Source organism: Homo sapiens, chromosome X, assembly GCF_000001405.40.
Source record: "Homo sapiens chromosome X, GRCh38.p14 Primary Assembly".
Classification (NCBI taxonomy): domain Eukaryota; kingdom Metazoa; phylum Chordata; class Mammalia; order Primates; family Hominidae; genus Homo; species Homo sapiens.
The window spans coordinates 97,016,173-97,033,589 of record NC_000023.11 but is presented as its reverse complement, the minus strand read 5'-3'; the positions used below and the strand labels follow the sequence as shown (position 1 = coordinate 97,033,589).

The 17,417-nt window shown below is 35.3% G+C and overlaps 1 protein-coding gene across 2 annotated transcripts in view, besides 1 other annotated feature; it reads right to left on the bottom strand.

Moving 5' to 3' along the window:
- The window catches only part of DIAPH2 (diaphanous related formin 2), a 920,156-nt gene that overhangs the window by 571,408 nt on the left and 331,331 nt on the right, over positions 1-17,417 (bottom strand). The gene's annotated exons all lie outside the window — the stretch shown is intronic.
- Positions 5,539-6,141: an enhancer, noted in NCBI's record as "OCT4-NANOG hESC enhancer chrX:96282448-96283050 (GRCh37/hg19 assembly coordinates)". NCBI's record gives its function as "activates a minimal SCP1, AML or CMV promoter by ChIP-STARR-seq in naive and primed H9 embryonic stem cells {active_cell/tissue: H9 hESC(naive and primed)}" and the evidence as "EXISTENCE:reporter gene assay evidence [ECO:0000049][PMID:30033119]".

Genomic DNA, 17,417 nt, shown 5'->3' with positions numbered 1-17,417 from the left:
ACTATTTAGACATTCTCTATTGCTTTGTTTTGTTTAAATACAGAGACTTTAAATAATTCATAAAATTCTCTATTTAGCTAAAGTAAGCTATGACCATTTTCAAAAGAAGAGAGAGAAAGAGGGGGAAAAACCCTATAAGGAGAGCAACAAAAGGACTAATGGAGATGACCTTTCAAAAGGACATTTACTAGCATTCTAATGCAGCTGACTTAGTTTATTAGATCTGGCATCTTTCTGATCTCTGACGCTATTATCTTACTTAGGAAAAAAAGTACACTGTGAATGTGAGGATTTCAAATATTTAAAGTTGGAAACTGGTTTTAATTGTTTGCTAATCTTGCTCATAAAAATCTCACATTTTCATTTCTTGACACGGAATGGATATCTAGTCTAGATGTATCTATGGAAACCTAACTATATCTGAAGATCAAATATTCTCAACAAAATTTTTATAGCATATTAGGAATTGTTTTTCTACCAGAAAAAGAAGCAACCTCTTTGTAGATGGCTGGCAGTGAATTTGAGACTTTCAAAATACAGAATCCAGAACCCTTGGGAAGGATACCATACAATGGTTTACACATGTTCCTTAAGGGCATCATACTGTCTTACTTAGAATTATAGTCCTTTGAGTAGACCAGGTCTTTAGTAAATGGTTGTGTGAAGTAAACAGTTAATGATCCCAATAGAGATACTGAATTATTCGAGGAAAACTGAAAACTTAAAAGAGCCAAAGTAGTTAGTCACATAAGTCAGACTCTCTGAAACAAAGCAGTACATCCTTTAGGCAAAGGGTGCAAATAAAATTAAGTTTTCATAATATACTCTCTTAAAAATATTCCAGGAAACTTATGCAAGTTCTTTTGTAATTGAGATAATCTCTTTGAAATACTTCCTTTACACTAAGATTTGTGGACTTGAGTGCTTTTTTAAGCGGAGCATAGCAGTAATAGATGTAAAAAGAGACAAGAATGAGGTAACACACTGGCCCCCCAAGAGCTTAAAAATTAGGGAAATTAGAATAGAAAAAAGCCTACAGATAATGGCTATTATTATTAATAGCTATCTAGTGGCATTAAACTGATCAGTTCAAAGATCTGGCACTAAATTGCCTAACCAACACTCAAAATTCCAATCAAAATGACAAGGATAAATTCAGGAAATAGAACCGTAATTTAGTAATTTGAGTAATGTAAAATAATAGCCCTTATCAAGTTCTAAAACCAAATTTTGTACTTTTTCTCTATATAGAATATGTACAAAGCTCTTATTCTCACTACTTTATGACATGTGCAATGTCTTGCCTCAATTTATATTGCAAGAAGCTCCAGACTAGTCTCTGCCTCAAGACCAAATGGCCCCTTCTCCATCCCCAACCAGGTCCCAAACATCTCTCAGACCATAATCAGAGTGATCTTTATAATTATTTAATCTGAGAGTGTTACTTCTCTGCTTAACATATTCTCATTCCATGTTAGTTTTAGAATAAAATCTAAACTCCTAAATACTGCAAGCTAGGCCATTAGTGAGTAGGTAACTTCATCCCTTTATGCCCTGATTTCTTACCACTTTCCCTAAAAGTACACTACCTATCACTTACACCAAACAACTTAGAGTTTCTTGAAAACACCACAGTTTCTCAAACCTTAACACATGCCTCAATGTGTACTCTCATTGTGTCTAGAATTTTTTGCTATTGCAATCCTTTTTCAATTGGCTAATTCCCATTCTGACTTTGAAATTCAGATCTGGCATCAACATCTACTGGGAATTCTTGCTTACTTCCCTTCATCGGAGTTCGGTGGCCTTCTCCCCTCTGTGGTCCTGCAATATCCTACTCTTCTCTTTTCTGGCATTTACACATGTTATGATAATAATTGATTACCTATCTATCTTCCCCACTATCCTTGCATTCCCCGAGGACACAGAGTCTTATTTATGTACCCCTAGCATTCAGCACAGTGCCTAGAAAATAAGTATGCATTTAATAAATGTGAATTGACAAAAGAAAGCAGAAAAACAACTAGCACTTGCAATTAACATACTGTTAACAAGATTAAATACAGTGGGCATTCCCTTGATGGAATGATGCTTGAACAAAAGATGGGAATACATTATACTATAATAAACACCTTTTGTGCATTGAGGTAGGCTGTAAAGTTTATAGAATTATAGATTTTTCCATTATTTTTCCAACTTTCTGTATTTTATTATCACAGTTTAGGATGTCCCCCCCCCTCCCGCCCCATAGGTTCCAATGAATGCCTAAGGTTATTCCTCAAAATTTTATCATTTTGCATTCTGATGAAAACTAGTTATGGAGACCTCTTGTCAGGCTCCAATAGCCAGTGGCCTCCATACATAAATGGCTCCCCTAAAGTCACCCATGGACATCACTTACAGAAAATACCTAAAATCTCCCTAAGTAGTATGACTTCAGCTAACACACCAGGGCTGAGAAATGCTGCAAAGGGTGGTTAATCAGTGAGCCTTGAAAAGCCAGAACAAGTATAAAAAGGGTAAAAGAAGTAACAACTAATGAGCTGGACAGATATTGTAAAGCCCTGAGTAAAATAATTTGTTAAACTAAACAGGAAATCAAATCGAGTCTCAAAAATATGACAAGTAAAGGCACAAAGTCTCTAAAGTATAGTTATTGGCTTACAATTATTTTAAGCGTATGTTTCTACTCACTACAATTTAAGCCATGACCCAGTTTTGAATAATTAGCTATGTCAACATGGTACAATTTACACTATTGTGTTTTCATAGTGCCATGAAAAACATTTCACTGAAAATCCAGAGGTTAATGTAATTTTCCACTTAAAAATGAAACTGATGACAGATTATATATGTATAGTACACTATATCTGAGTCAGAGATAGCAAAATTGAATAAGGTGATTTGAAACACACATGGGAAACACAAGGGGAAACACTAAAGTCATTCTGAAAATATGAATGTAAAAATATGAGCTCTTTATTCTTGTGATTTGTTATTTCCCCCTGCTGCCAAATATAGCTTGTATCCCACGAGAAGGCATGGTACATGTACGCATAATACTGTCATATTAGATTACTAGTAAGTATAACAAAACCATCAAAAATATTTGTATCATCCTTTAGCACTTTCAACTAAAATGATATTTTGTCATACTGTTCTTAAACATAACCATCCAATTATTAGTAGAAAAAAAAGAAAATAGCTGTGATTATAATTTTTGCCAAAATATAGCAAAATGGACTTGTTTTACTGTTCTCTCCAGTACCCAATTATTTCTCTATCAATAATAGTCTCGTTAATTATACCTTTTGAGGATTTCTCAAAAATTTCTCTTCTCCATCCCTACTACCTTAGTCTCCTCTATGGTTTTGCTGCAGATTTGAATGATGTTAAGTGGGCAACCCAGGGGTGGTTAAAAACTGTGTTAAGATTTTTGACTTTTTCCTCCATTTCTTATTCCTCATCTAATAAATATGAATTAATTAGACAGGATTTGTGACTCTGTGAATATTTTTCTAAGTGAAGAAAATGGGATCATATGAAACCATCAGAGAAGGTAATGGTGGTCGGTGCTTGGTGTGATGGAAACCATTGAAGAATGTTAAAAAGGAACCTGAGTCACAAACTAGTGGGAAGAAAAGCTGATCATCATAAGAAAGCAGAAGACTAAGTAGGTCAGTATGTATCAAAAGAAGAAAAAAGTAGAGGACACACACCTGCCAATTTCAAAACTTACTATAAAGCTATAGTAATCAAGACATTGAGGTACTGCCATAAAGATAGACATACAGTTTGATGGAATAAAAATAAAAATCCAGAAATAATCTCTTACAGTCAATGAATTTTGGATAAGGGTGACAATTATGAAATAGAATAGACTCAACAAATGGTGCAGGGATGCTGGATAGCCACATGGAAAAAAAATGAAGTTAGGTAAAACAATGAAATTATTAGAGGAAAACAGAGGTATAAATTTTTGTGACCTTAGATTAGGCAACAGTTTTTTAAATATGACATTAAAAGCACAATTAAAAAAACAGATCAATTTAGCTTAATAAAAGTTAAAACTTTTGTGTTTCAAAAGACACTAACATGAAAATGAAAACACAACCCAGAGAATGGGAGATATCTGCAACAATTCAATGATAAAATGATGACCCCATTAAAAATGAGTAAAGGGGGAAGCTGAGGCAGGTGGATAGCTTGAGCCCAGGAATTGGAGACCAGCCTGGGCAACATGGTAAAACCCTATCTCTACAAAAAATACAAAAATTAGCCAGGTGTGGTGACATGTGCCTGTAGTTCCAGCTACTCAGGAGGCTGAAATGGGAGGATCACTTGAGCCTGGGAGGTGGAGGTTGCAGTGAGCCAAGGTTGTGCCACTGCACTCCAGCCTGGGTGGCAGAGCAAGATCCTGTCTCACTAAAAAAAAAAAAAAAAGAAAAAGAAAAAAGTAAAGGATCTCAATAGCTATTTCTGCAAAGTAGATATACAAATAGGCAATAAATAAATGAAATGCTGCTCGAAATCATTAGCCACTGGGGAAATGCAAATAAAACCATAATATTCTCATACTCATTAGGATGGCTAACATTAAAAGCAGACAATACCAAGTGTTGCAAAGGATATGGAGAAACTGGAACCCTTTTACATTGCTAGTGGGAATGTGAAATGGTACAGCTACTTTGGAAAACTGTTTGACAGTTCCTCAGAATGTTAAACACAGAATCACTATATGACCCAGCAATTCCACTCCTAGATATATACCGATACATGCCCAGTAGAATTCAAAAGACACATTCAAACAAGTACTTGTACAGGAACACTAATAGCAGCACTATTTGCAATAGCCAAAAGGTGGAAACAACCCAGATGTCCATCAACTGATGAACGGATAAACCATCTGTGGTATATCATACAACCGAATACTACTCAGCCATAAAAAGGAATGAAGTATTGATATATGCTACAACACGGATGAACCTTGGAAGCATAAGCTAAGTGAAAGGAACCAGACAAAAAGAACACAGATTATGTAATTCCATTTATATGAAATGTCCAGAATAGACAAATACATAGAAACAGAAAATAGGTTAGTGATTGACAGGGGCAGGGGTTTGAGGATGGAAGATGAGGAGTGACTGCTAATGGGTACAGGTTTCTTGAAAAACAAAAACAAAACCAAGAGAAGATGTATCAGGAAGGTCTTATCAAACATAAAGATGAAGAATGATAATAGCTGAGAGAAAAGGTTAGAAGGTAGGAACTAGAGGCAATAGAGAGAGTAGTTTCAGTAGAGTAACAAACATGGGTACCACACTGCCAGGGGTCAATGAAAGGGCTGGAAAGTAGCAGATGCACTGGATATTGACATCATATTGAAGATGATTGGCCACGAAAATAATAAAATCATTTAAATGTTAGGAAGATAGGCACACTGAAAACAATTCCATGACCATTAAAAAAAATTCTATGAAATATTTTGGCATCCTTATTTCTATAATGCAATTAATTTTCTAATACCTTAAGAAGATTAAAGCAATAATTATGTAAATGACCAAGCTTATATATGACATTGCCACAGCATTTTACATAATACAGCTTTTTAAATTAAAAATTGCAGTTTATAACTTTTCCTATTATTGCTCTGAATCAATTATTTTTTTCCTCAAAATAAAGACCTGGATGTAATTGCAAGAAAAGTTTAGAAAGAAACATAGGGAGACTCAATGTTTACAAGCGCCTCAGCGTGTTGGAAGCTCTGGTTTCTTTTGGCGTCATTGGAATGCTGCTCTTTATGTAAGTCCATTGTGCAGTAATGAATGAAATGGCTACCGATGCTCTCTAAATAAAAGACTCACTCTCCCTCAACAGAAGCAGGTGCTATGGAACAGCTACTGTTTGCACAGCGACTTTCCAGACAAAAACTTTACACAAAAGGAACATACAAATAATTCCTGGGAGGCCTCCTCTGTGAATCTCCAAGACAATAGCCCAGCTGCAGTAACGCCACATGTGCCACTTTTAAGGTCAGTTTGGTATCTGTGCCTTTTTTGTAGCACTACTACAAGTATATTTATAAGGCACATATCACTTAGAATTAGACATTTGAGGTTATATTTTATTACTTGATGAATGTCTTAGTATAAGGTCTTTATTGCAAACAATCTTTTGGCTGTTGGTGCTTACAGTTGTAACACAATTAAGTATTGCTAAGAAGTATCTTTTTAGCACTTTATCACCCACCATATTTTAGATTTATCTATTATTTTAAAAGGTAGCAGTTGCACGTAACTTACTTTGCAAAAGAATTAGATATTCAGCTTATAAAAATATGAAGTGATATGATTGATAATTTAAGAATCCACACTATAAGCCATGTGATTTATAATTTACTTCGGCACATAATTTATAAAAATATTTGTATCTCTATACTTCAATGGTATCCAGCAATTTCTTTAAAATAACCATCAGAATGAATAAAAGGACAGATAAGGCTTAGGTTTCCACCTAAAGTTGTATCAACAGGTTTTCATATTCATTTTGGGACTCCTAAAATTCCTGTAGTACCAGATGTGTACAAAATAAATTATGAGATAAAACAGCAATGCTACCCAGAAAATGAGAGGAAGGAAAATGATTAGAATCACCTGTTTTTTGTTCTTTTAAAATAATGCTAGAATACTGATATGCTATTTTACAAGCATTATCAACAATGCCATTGATACTTAGCAACTCCTCACACAAGACATGCAAAGGCAAATCAGAGCCATTTTAAAGGAAGGCCAAGCAATATATTTTGTTAAACAAACAAACAAAAAAAACTCTATCTTCTACATGTGAGAAAAAGCGATGTTGCTTACAATCCAATAATAAGACAATTATCAGTGTTTCAACAGGAAGTCTGATAGTCTGGATGTAACAAGGACAGGAAGAAGGCAGAACAGCAGTCTTTAACCTAAATTCAGAACTGAAAGATCAAGAGAGCCACCTGCAGTTTGAAATCCAGAAATACGAAAATTCCTCTGACCCTCTATTTAAAGGCATTGTTTCTAGGGATGATTCTCCCAGAGCTCCTGATTAATTTGGACTTGGTTAGGAAAGTACATCACAATATAACTCAGATGTACTGCAAAATAATTATATTATGTTTTCAGTTCTATGATCCTTTCCATCTAAGATTTGTGCTTTCTACTTTTTTTACAATTATATGTTAATGCATTCAACAAATAATCAAAATATATTTATTGAGCATTTACTACATTGGTTACTTTTTATTTCCTAACCAAATGGCAACAGAACTTGTATTATAAATGGTATTTTACTAACAACTATGCAACAATATGAGTCCCCATAAGAACAATCTTCAACTTTTGGGAGCACTATCAAAATATAAACTATCTTGCTTTTTAAAGTGAAGTTTCTACTTTCAAGTTTGGATTACAATGATTCTAAAATGCTTTTATTATCTCTATCCTCAGTTAGGTAACCATAATGTCCTCATGGCCCATATTAAACATACCTTCAAATAAACATATCCATGTTCATATATAAAGTTTTCAGGCAAGAGCACAGACTATTATGAATCAGGGTCTGTTTGGAGTGTTGTAAGGTAATGCCATACTTGGTGTTGATACCTAAGTCTCTACTGGATCCTAGAGTCCAAGGATATCAACATTTAGACAGGAAGAATAGGTTCTTTCCCATTTTCAGCTTTCACAATGGAGGAGAAACTCTTAACTGAGACTTAGGAGAAAGATGGCTGAAACTGTTTATTACTCTGTTCTACCACTTATAAAAATTAATATTACCACATGATTTCTAGACTACTAAAAAGTAATGATTTATTTTAGAGATTATTGCATTCTCAATTGATCTCTGGGTATGTAACTTTTTTTTTGTTTTTTTGTTTGTTTGTTTGTTTGTTTTGTTTTTGAGACGGAGTCTTGCTCTGTCGCCCAGGCTGGAGTGCAGTGGCGCGATCTCGGCCCATTGCAAGCTCCGCCTCCCGGGTTCACGCCATTCTCCTGCCTCAGCCTCCCGAGTAGCTGGGACTACAGGGGCCCGCCACCACGCCCAGCTATTTTTTTTGTATTTTTAGTAGATACGGGGTTTCACCGTGTTAGCCAGGATGGTCTCAATTTCCTGACCTCGTGATCCGCCCGCCTCAGCCTCCCGAAGTGCTGGGATTACAGGCTTGAGCCACCACGCCCGGCTGTAACTCTTTTTTTGTGTGTGAGACAGAGTCTTGCTTTGTCACCCAGGCTGGAGTGCAGTGGCTCAATCGCGGCTCACTGCAACCTCTGCCTCCCGAGTTCAAACGATTCTCCTGTCTCAACCTCAGGAGTAGCTGGGACTACAGGTGCATGCCACCATACCCAGCTAATATTTGTATTTTTAGTAGAGACAGGTTTCACCACGTTGGCAAGGCTGGTCTCAAACTTCTGACCTCAAGTGATCCGCCCACCTCGGCCTCCCAAAGTGCTGGGATTACAGGCGTGAGCCACCGCACCCAGCCTGGGTAGGTAACTCTTAAGTCTGGAGCTAAATCTATCAACACTTCATAAAACCTAACATGATCAAACATCAAGACTGTTGCTACCACAAGCAAACGTTTCCAATACAGTGATATATCGATTTTCTCAGGAATAACAACACTCCGACCCCCATCCAGGATATCAGAAAAATGAAACAGGGAATGGTGTCTAGTCAACAGAAGCCTATTAGCCTTCTTAAGAAGATTTGGTCAGAATTGATGAGTTAATCTGTTTTTAACAGATCAGGTCATTCTCAACTTAGGAAAGACATCAGTTATTTTGAGATGGAAATCAAGAACAGTCAGATTTTATTCTGGCTTTAATGATATGCCTTTCATATTGGCTAGTTGCTTTGTTTCTTTACCTCTTCTAATCAGATCATACTCAGGAGAAATAAATGGAAATATAAGTGAATCTATTCATGTCTGCTACTATAGTATAGCTATGACAAAATTTATGTTTGAACACAAACCCCCAAGCACTAACAGGGTTGAGGGAAAGAGGACAAGCCTTCTTTTGGGTGGAAGAGTGATAAATCACTGACACACACAAAGAGGGTGACTCTTGCCTCCCTAACCTACACAGACTAAAGCATGTCTTTCTCTGATGTGGGAATGATCTGAATCCCTATCTGTTTTAGAGACACTGGCTCTGGAATATGTGTAGATATGAATACGCTGGATGTTCATTTGAAGGTATTACCAAATGTTTTAGAGACACCAGGGATCTCACAGAATTTCTCCATTTAGAAGAGTTTGGTAACATTAACTGATAACATTAAATGCAATATCATATTTTTAGCAAAATCTACACATAAAATCGAAATATTTTTCCAGGTAAAATACCTTAAATGTAAATTAAAAGTGTAAAGTTTTCTAATTTGCTTTGATTAGCCCATATAATCTAAAGAAACAATATCAGTATCTTCTTGCATGAGTTGATATGTAAGAAAACCCCTAGTATCCATCTCACTGTATTGCAGATGGCTATAATTTCTTCCCAGACTACTACTTACCTATATATTTTTAGATAGACTATAACTTGCAAGACTGAACTATGTACTTACATATTTTTGAATGCCTGTTGATTATTTATTCCAAATGTAATCTGATTTTCTTTGGTAATATTGAAGCAGGTTTGTCATCTTTAGCTATGTTTTAATAAAACATGTTTTATGTGTAGCATCACTGCTAAGATAAGGTATTTGAACTATTTATATAGGTAAAAGGTAAATTGCAAAGAAAACACGGAATCTAAAATATCTCTTATAGCAACATGGTATAATCTTTTCCCTTAATGACTACATTCTTACTTCTATAGGTATGAATGCAAATCTGCTTCCAATATACTGTCCTAAAAAATACTTAGAACAGAAAATGAAATGCCACATTTGGAAATTCTTGTCACTAACGAAATGTCCTGTAAGTCAAGAGGTGCATTATGATGAAAGAGTTGAGTCTGAGCTATGAATCCAGACAGTGTGGGTATGAACTCTAGCTCTCCCACTTACTAGCTGTGTGACCTTGGTTAATTTACTTAAGCTCTTTACGCTTCGATTTTCTCATTTATAAAATGAGGAAAATATTAGTTTTCATTGGGTTACTGTTAGAATTAGTCCAGGTGCATTAAACACTTAGAGCAGTGTCTGGTACATAGCAAGCACTAGATATGTGTTTGTAAGTATTATTGGTATACTCTTTAAAATAATCTAAATCAATTCATAGGTGTACAGAATGATACCCAAACCATGAAATTTTGAATGAAGTTAAACAGAAAGAAAATATTAGAAACAAAGAAAGAATAAGAATAGCAAGTCTAATATCCAAGATAAAGTAATTAAAGTCTGAAAATAAAATCTGCATTATTTCCAATGACAAAACATTATAATAAATAATTTCAAACTACTAATAAGAGTTAGAAACCCAAATTATCAAATAAATGTCTAGATGTGAATAAAATTTGTAATTGCCAAATACTTAACATATCCCTATAGTACATAAAGAAACAGGGTTTCACTCTTTTACCCAGGCTGGAGTGCAGTGGTGTGATCATAGCTCACTGAAGCCTTGAACTACTGGCCTCAAGCAATCCTCCCGCCACAGCCTCCCAAGTAGCTAGGACTACAGACGTGCATCACCTGGCTAATTTTTAAAGTTTTTGTAGAGATGGGGTCTCCCTATGTTGCCCAGGCTGGTTTTGAATTCCTAAGCTGAAACAATCCTCCTACCTCAGCCTCCCAAAGCACTGGAATTACAGGTGTGAACCACCATGCCCAGCAACATACTAACATTTTAAGGAACATAAATCTCTCTGATGAGATGAATTTTGAGAATATTATTTAAAAGTTAAAAATAATTATCTTGGGATGTCAGAATTCCAGATGACAATAATTTTTTGATGTATACAATTTTTTTTTCCAAATTTGCCAATGATATTTCCAGATTTTCCACAACTAAGTATTAATTTTATAATGAAATAACTTTACTAAAAATAAAATGCTCATCAATAGTTTTGAAACATTTTCAGAGAAAAAGCTAACAATGTAAATAACTTACATTGTAAATAAAAAGCTTACATTTGTGTATAGACATCTACCTGGAGAATTAATGCAGGTCTTCTTCCCCAAAAATTAACCTTCACAGCTGAACTTTTACTATTCCACCTACCAGAAGAAAAATAGTACCACGCCATCTTCCAAACAAAGGTGGTCAGGTTGGACAACACCACACACTGTCAACAGTGAAAGCAGCTTATATGCAAATGCACATAGCATTTTATAGGCTAACCATTTTCACAGTTACTCATTATCCTGAATATAATCCTAAAACTAGATAGACCTAATATTATTATCCTTACTTTACATTGAAGGAAAAAGGTTCAGAGAAGTAAATTGACTTGCTTGATGTCAGGGCTAGAAAGTACAGAGCTGGGATTATAAATTGGTCTTCTGATTCCCAGTCCAGTAATAGATCCTACTCTCTATCAGTAGTTCACAGCTTCACCTCCAGTAATGCAGACTTAGGTTTTCTTTCCCTGTTATTCCCATTGCTTTGACACTTAGCAAATGCTTCCATTATAACAACTGTTTTATTAGACTGTTTCTTTATAGGCACGATGATCTATTATACTATAAGATTCCTGATGACAATAATCATATAATTTCCTCTTTGTAACCCCAGAACAAGGGAAAGTACTCCGCACAAAGGAAGTGCTTAGTCACTGTTTCCTGAATGGGAACTATAGTGTAAATTCATACAGTACATTCCACTCACCAAGCCTCAGAGCGTGTTTCTTTATCAAATGTACTCACATATTAATAACCAATGACTTATTTTCCCTAATCATTTCTATTACTATTCTACTTATTAACTATTCCTTATATTTCAAAATTATTATACTTTTCATTAATTTATTAATTATTAATTTCATTTATACACCTTTACGTCATTCACATTATATTCTTTGCTCTTTAGGAGAGTCTTTTGTAATATTAAGTCTAAACACATTACTCGAAGCTCTCAACATCCATTCATACAGCAATAATACTTAAGACTTTCTTGCTGGTGGCTCACGCCTATAATCTCAGCACTTTGGGAAGCCAAGGCGGGTGGATTTCTTGAGGCCAGGAGTTCGACACCAGCCTGTGTGACATGGTGAAACCCAAATCTATAAAAATTACCAAAAGGAGCAGGGCGTGGTAGCATGCACCTGTAGTCCCAGCTACTCGGGAGACTGAGGTGCGAGGATCACCTGAGCCCAGGAGGTCAAGGCTTGCAGTGAGCTGTAATCGTGCCACTGCACCCCAGCCTGGGTGACAGAGTGTGATCCCCTCTCAAAAAGGAAAAAAAAAAGTCTTTCTTTGCATAAGTCCCTAAGGACACTAAGAGGAATGAAAGATGGTCCCCATCCAGCAAGATCTTACCTTCTGGAGTAAAGACAGACTTTTTACTTCTCAAAGAGTTAAGAACATCTGAAGAAACCAAGAGTAATGTCCATCTTACTTGCAACTTCCTCTTGGATGGCTTAAATAATCTTCCTTATATATAATAATATTTGTCAGTAGGTGATAATGAGTACAACTGCAAAATCACCTTGCTACTACAAACACCACATGTCCAAAAGTTAACTATAATAGTCCCTCCTTATCCATGGTTTCATTTTCTACAGTTTCAGTCACCCATGGTCAACTGCAGTCCAAAGATATTAAATGGAAAAATCCAGAAATAAACAATTCATAAGTTTTAAATTGTGTACCACTCTGAGTAACATGATACAATCTCTCAGTGTCCTGCTCCATCCCGCCTGGAACATAAATCATTCCTTCATCCAGCATATCCACAATGTGTATGCTACTCATCCATTAGTCGCTTAGTAGTTGTCTTGGTTATCAAATCAACTGTAGAGGTAACATGCTAGTGTTCAAGTAACCCTATTTTATAACGGCCCTAATGCACAAGAGTAGTGATGCTGGCATACTGTTTTTATTGTTCTACTTTATTATTATAGCTGTTAGTTTCTTACTATGGCTAATTTACAAATTAAACTTTGTTGTAAATACATACGTATTTGAAAAAAACATAGTATTTACAGAGTTCGGTACTATCCGCAGTTTCATTGTGGGTTTTATATCCCCCTGTGGATAAGGCAGGGCTACCGCATTGCTAATTAGAAGTAGCGAGGACTAATGTATTGTTAATTAGAAGCAAGTTCCATAAGATATACCTACATGCACACACACATGCACACACATACACAAGTAGCTGCAGAGAGCACTAAGTAAATTAAGAATTGTGTTCCTGAGTCAGCGCAAGCAAGGGCTTATTTATATAGTATGCTTCAGGTTTATTCTCACTAGAAAATGTTACAAACAATGACATTAACCATCCTTTGTTAAAATGAATTGATACTGAAGCCTGTGTTAACTAGATTACCTGAACAGAGAAGTGAATGGGTCAACTGCAGCACTGCATAGCCAAGAGCTTGAATTTTCCTTGTCCTTTAGGATTTTTTTTAATCCAGTTGATGTTTCAGTTGAAATGGCATTATTGCCATTAGCTTTAGGGTGCAGGTAGATTTAAAATACAGGAGTCGTGGCATTACAATCTGATGTATTCCCCCAAGGATCTGTTTCACATAATGATGCGACAATCCTAGTCTTTTGTGATTTTTATAACTTCACTAACAGCCTTAGTTTTTTTAGCAGAAGACTTTCTTTTTATATTGCCAATGAAAAATTTATCATTAATACTAGGAATGGCATCAAAATGGATAAAAACTAATGTTAGAAAATCCAAGTGAAAATCTATTAATGCCTATTACATATTCAGAGGCAAAATCTTGTTTTAAATTATTTGGATGATTATTCTAGAGAAGTATGTCTTAAATAATCATTGAACTCTTAGAATATATATATTCCGTATATATATTAGAATTCCATCCATATATGTAGAATATATATATGGAAACATTATTAAATTTAAAACTAAAATAGCACTGGCCTCAGGTTAGGGGAGGCAAGGAATATGCAAAGGAGTACACACACTTAAGAAATATGTGATTGTCAAGGATCTAGATTTTGTATTGGGTGGTGAGGTCAGAAGTACTTACTATATTATCATAAATAACTAATTAAATAAAAAGTCACCCTCAAATCAATGATAAGAGTGGGTTAAGAACAAAGGGATTGTGATTAGTTCAATTCTATTAATCCGATATCAAAAAACAAAACAAAATAAAACTGGAGGGATAGGGATAAAGTAGCACCAGCCATATAAAAATAAACATACTCTTACCATGATTGAGCAGTCATACTCCTTAGTATTTATCCAAATGAGTTTAAAACTTATATCCACACACACAGGAAAAACCTGAGCACAAACGGTTATGGCAGCTTTATTCATAATTACTAAAACTTAGAAGCAACCAAGATGTCCTTTGGTAGGTGCTGGTACATCCACACGGTGGAATGTTATTCAACGATAAAAGAAATGAGATTTCAAGCCATTGGAAGACATGGAACAACCTTAAATGCTCAGTGAAAGAAGCAGAAGCTCAGTGAAAGAATCCGGAAAGATTTAGGCAAAACCATGAAGACAGAAAAATGACCAGTGGTTGTCAGGGGTTTGGAGGGAGGAATGAAGGCATGAATAGGTAGGGCACGGAAGATTTTTAGGGCAGTGAAACCCATCTGTAAGATACTAAAATGGTAGATACATGATGTGTCAAAACACATAGAACTATATAACACAGAGAGTAAACTCTGAACTATGGACTTTAGTAATGTACCAATATTGATTATTGTGTAAAAAATGTACCACACTAATACAAGATAATAATAGGGGAAACTGGAGAGCAGGGAGGAGATGAGCATATACATAGGACTTTCCATGCAATTTTCCAGTAAACCTAAAATGCTCTTTAAAAAGTAGTCTGTTAATTAAAACAATAACAAATAGAATATAGCACTAGTCATTCGTGAATGGCTAATTAAGCTCATGGGTTTTTAATATATCACTAATTTCCTCTATTAAAATCAATGTATCTTAAGCAGGATTTAAAAGCAAAAGTATATGTGGTATATGTTGGTCTACTGGCAATGCTGTCGCAATAGCAGCAAAGCAAATGCAGTACTTCTCATAAAAATAAAAATGAAGAACCAATAATACCTGAATCTTGTTTTACTACCTTATTTGACAATGTCTGAAAAATAATTTTTAAAAATCACCCCAAAATGTTATAAAATAAACATGTACATATAAACTTTTACACTGAATTTTTAAGATGCTAGCCTCTCCTGTTTCACATATGAATAGGCAAATAAAATTAGAGGCCTGTTAACATGACAAGACAGCTGCACTTTATTTAAAATAATTAATCAACTGAATATATATGAGCATATGATGTTGGTGTGAAAGGAAACTTGGGGCATTTAGCCTCCTCCAGATCTGGTCTTGTAAAATACAGAAACATATTTTAAATGCATAAGTCAGATTAATAAATGCAAATGCTAAAACATCTTATGCTAACTAATAACTTCCAACATGTTTTGCAAGCAGCAATTTCCTTGCTCACCTAGGCAACTAAGATCCTGCTATATTTATGTGTTTCTCTCGAGTCCTGGCTCTCCACCATGCCATGCTGGCACAAAGTACTAAGTATAATTAATTTGTGGCAGGTCAGCTCCACTCACATGGCTTTTCCTCCTTCTATTAAGTTTATTTGGATTTCATGAAGATTGTGCCAGTAATTGGGAAAAAAGGGCAGTCAGGTAATTTCTTTTTAAGTCACACTACTGCAGCTGTCTTTTCTATCACATCATCATTGAAACATTTGAAAGGTGATTCATTATTGGGAATCACTTGCACCTCCAACTGCCATCGAGCTGCGCCATAAGATCACAGGTGGAGTCTAAAAAATTAAATTACATAAAATGGAGACTTGTGTTATCTTGAATTTAGTTAAAAACCATATATTTCAATTTATCTATATCATCTCATGAAAGCATTAAAACAAGGACAGTGGAACTTACATTGAACATATATGACTGTAAAATGAACAAAGAAGGTCCCAAATTCTTGAGGGTCACTTCCTAACTCTTCCTCCCCATTCAATGCATATGTGAATTCATGTTGTTGCCCAGTGCTTTATTGAAGTTTTACAGTATTTATGACCTTTCACTTAATGTACTATTTATAATCTTCCAAAAAGTAGTGTTCTTCTCTCACTACCATCAAACAAAGGAGAAAAAAGATAATTCTAAACAACTAATGTATAGTAAATAAAATTCATAGAGAAAAATAAGACTAATGATATTTACGATGTTTTCCTCAAAGGCCTATATTAAAAATATTTAGTGATTATCAAGTTTGTATTGAGAGACACACTTCAGGGTTAATGTTTTCTGGTAATTATGTTGACAAATATTAAAATAAGCACTTTCCAGTAGATGTGCCTAAAAAATTCCTGCAATTTTCTTCAGGCAGCTCCAAGGAAGGTGTTAAAAACAGAAGTAGTGCACAGCTTCATACCCACCACCATGATGGAGGCCCGTGACACACCTCACAGACTGCCAGTCGTGCCAAGGATTTAAAAAATAGTCACATTCAACATTAACCAGCAAGACTAGACCACCACCACGTTTCTCCGTGAAACTGATATATTCTCTTTCTTATCACACAACCATGAAGACTTGCAGCATGAGCTGAGGCAGCTATAAACAAAGTAGATGGGCATAATGATGTAAGCAATGATATACTTTAAGAGATTAAAACAAATTACATTATGGTGGGACAGCTTGGAAACAACAGAAGCCGTGACAACAGTTAAATACATAGCAGCTAAGAATTGGGCAGCTCCTTTTGAGCAATTTTCTTTGTGGCAAGCAACTTGTCAAAGGTATCAATAGCACTCCATTCTGGAAACAGTGGCTACAGTCTCAAACTATTAAGGGGGGAAAAAAGGACTTTCCATATCCTGACATGTCAGAATGAACCTGAAGAGAGAAAGCATAAACTCCATCAACATGACCAACGTTTTATACAGACACAGTAAAGATCAGTAGCCTAAAATATATAGTATCTCTCTGTTTATAAAGAAGGCTGATTCTTTCTTCTAATTTTATTTGATTTTTTTCATAACGACACTCTGATGATGCAACCTTGGCATTCCAATATAAAAGATCAACAATGAGTGACTTTCAATACTTCCAAATATGTTTTCACTTTCTGCCAAATTGCATAAACTCATAGGCTAAGTGAGTTGTTCTCTAAAACAAATGGGAACAATTTAGCCTTAAGAAAAGCCCAACATCTATTTTTCACAAATTAGCCACTGATGGGTTTGCATTTCATGAAAACATTAAATGTCGATCTCACACTT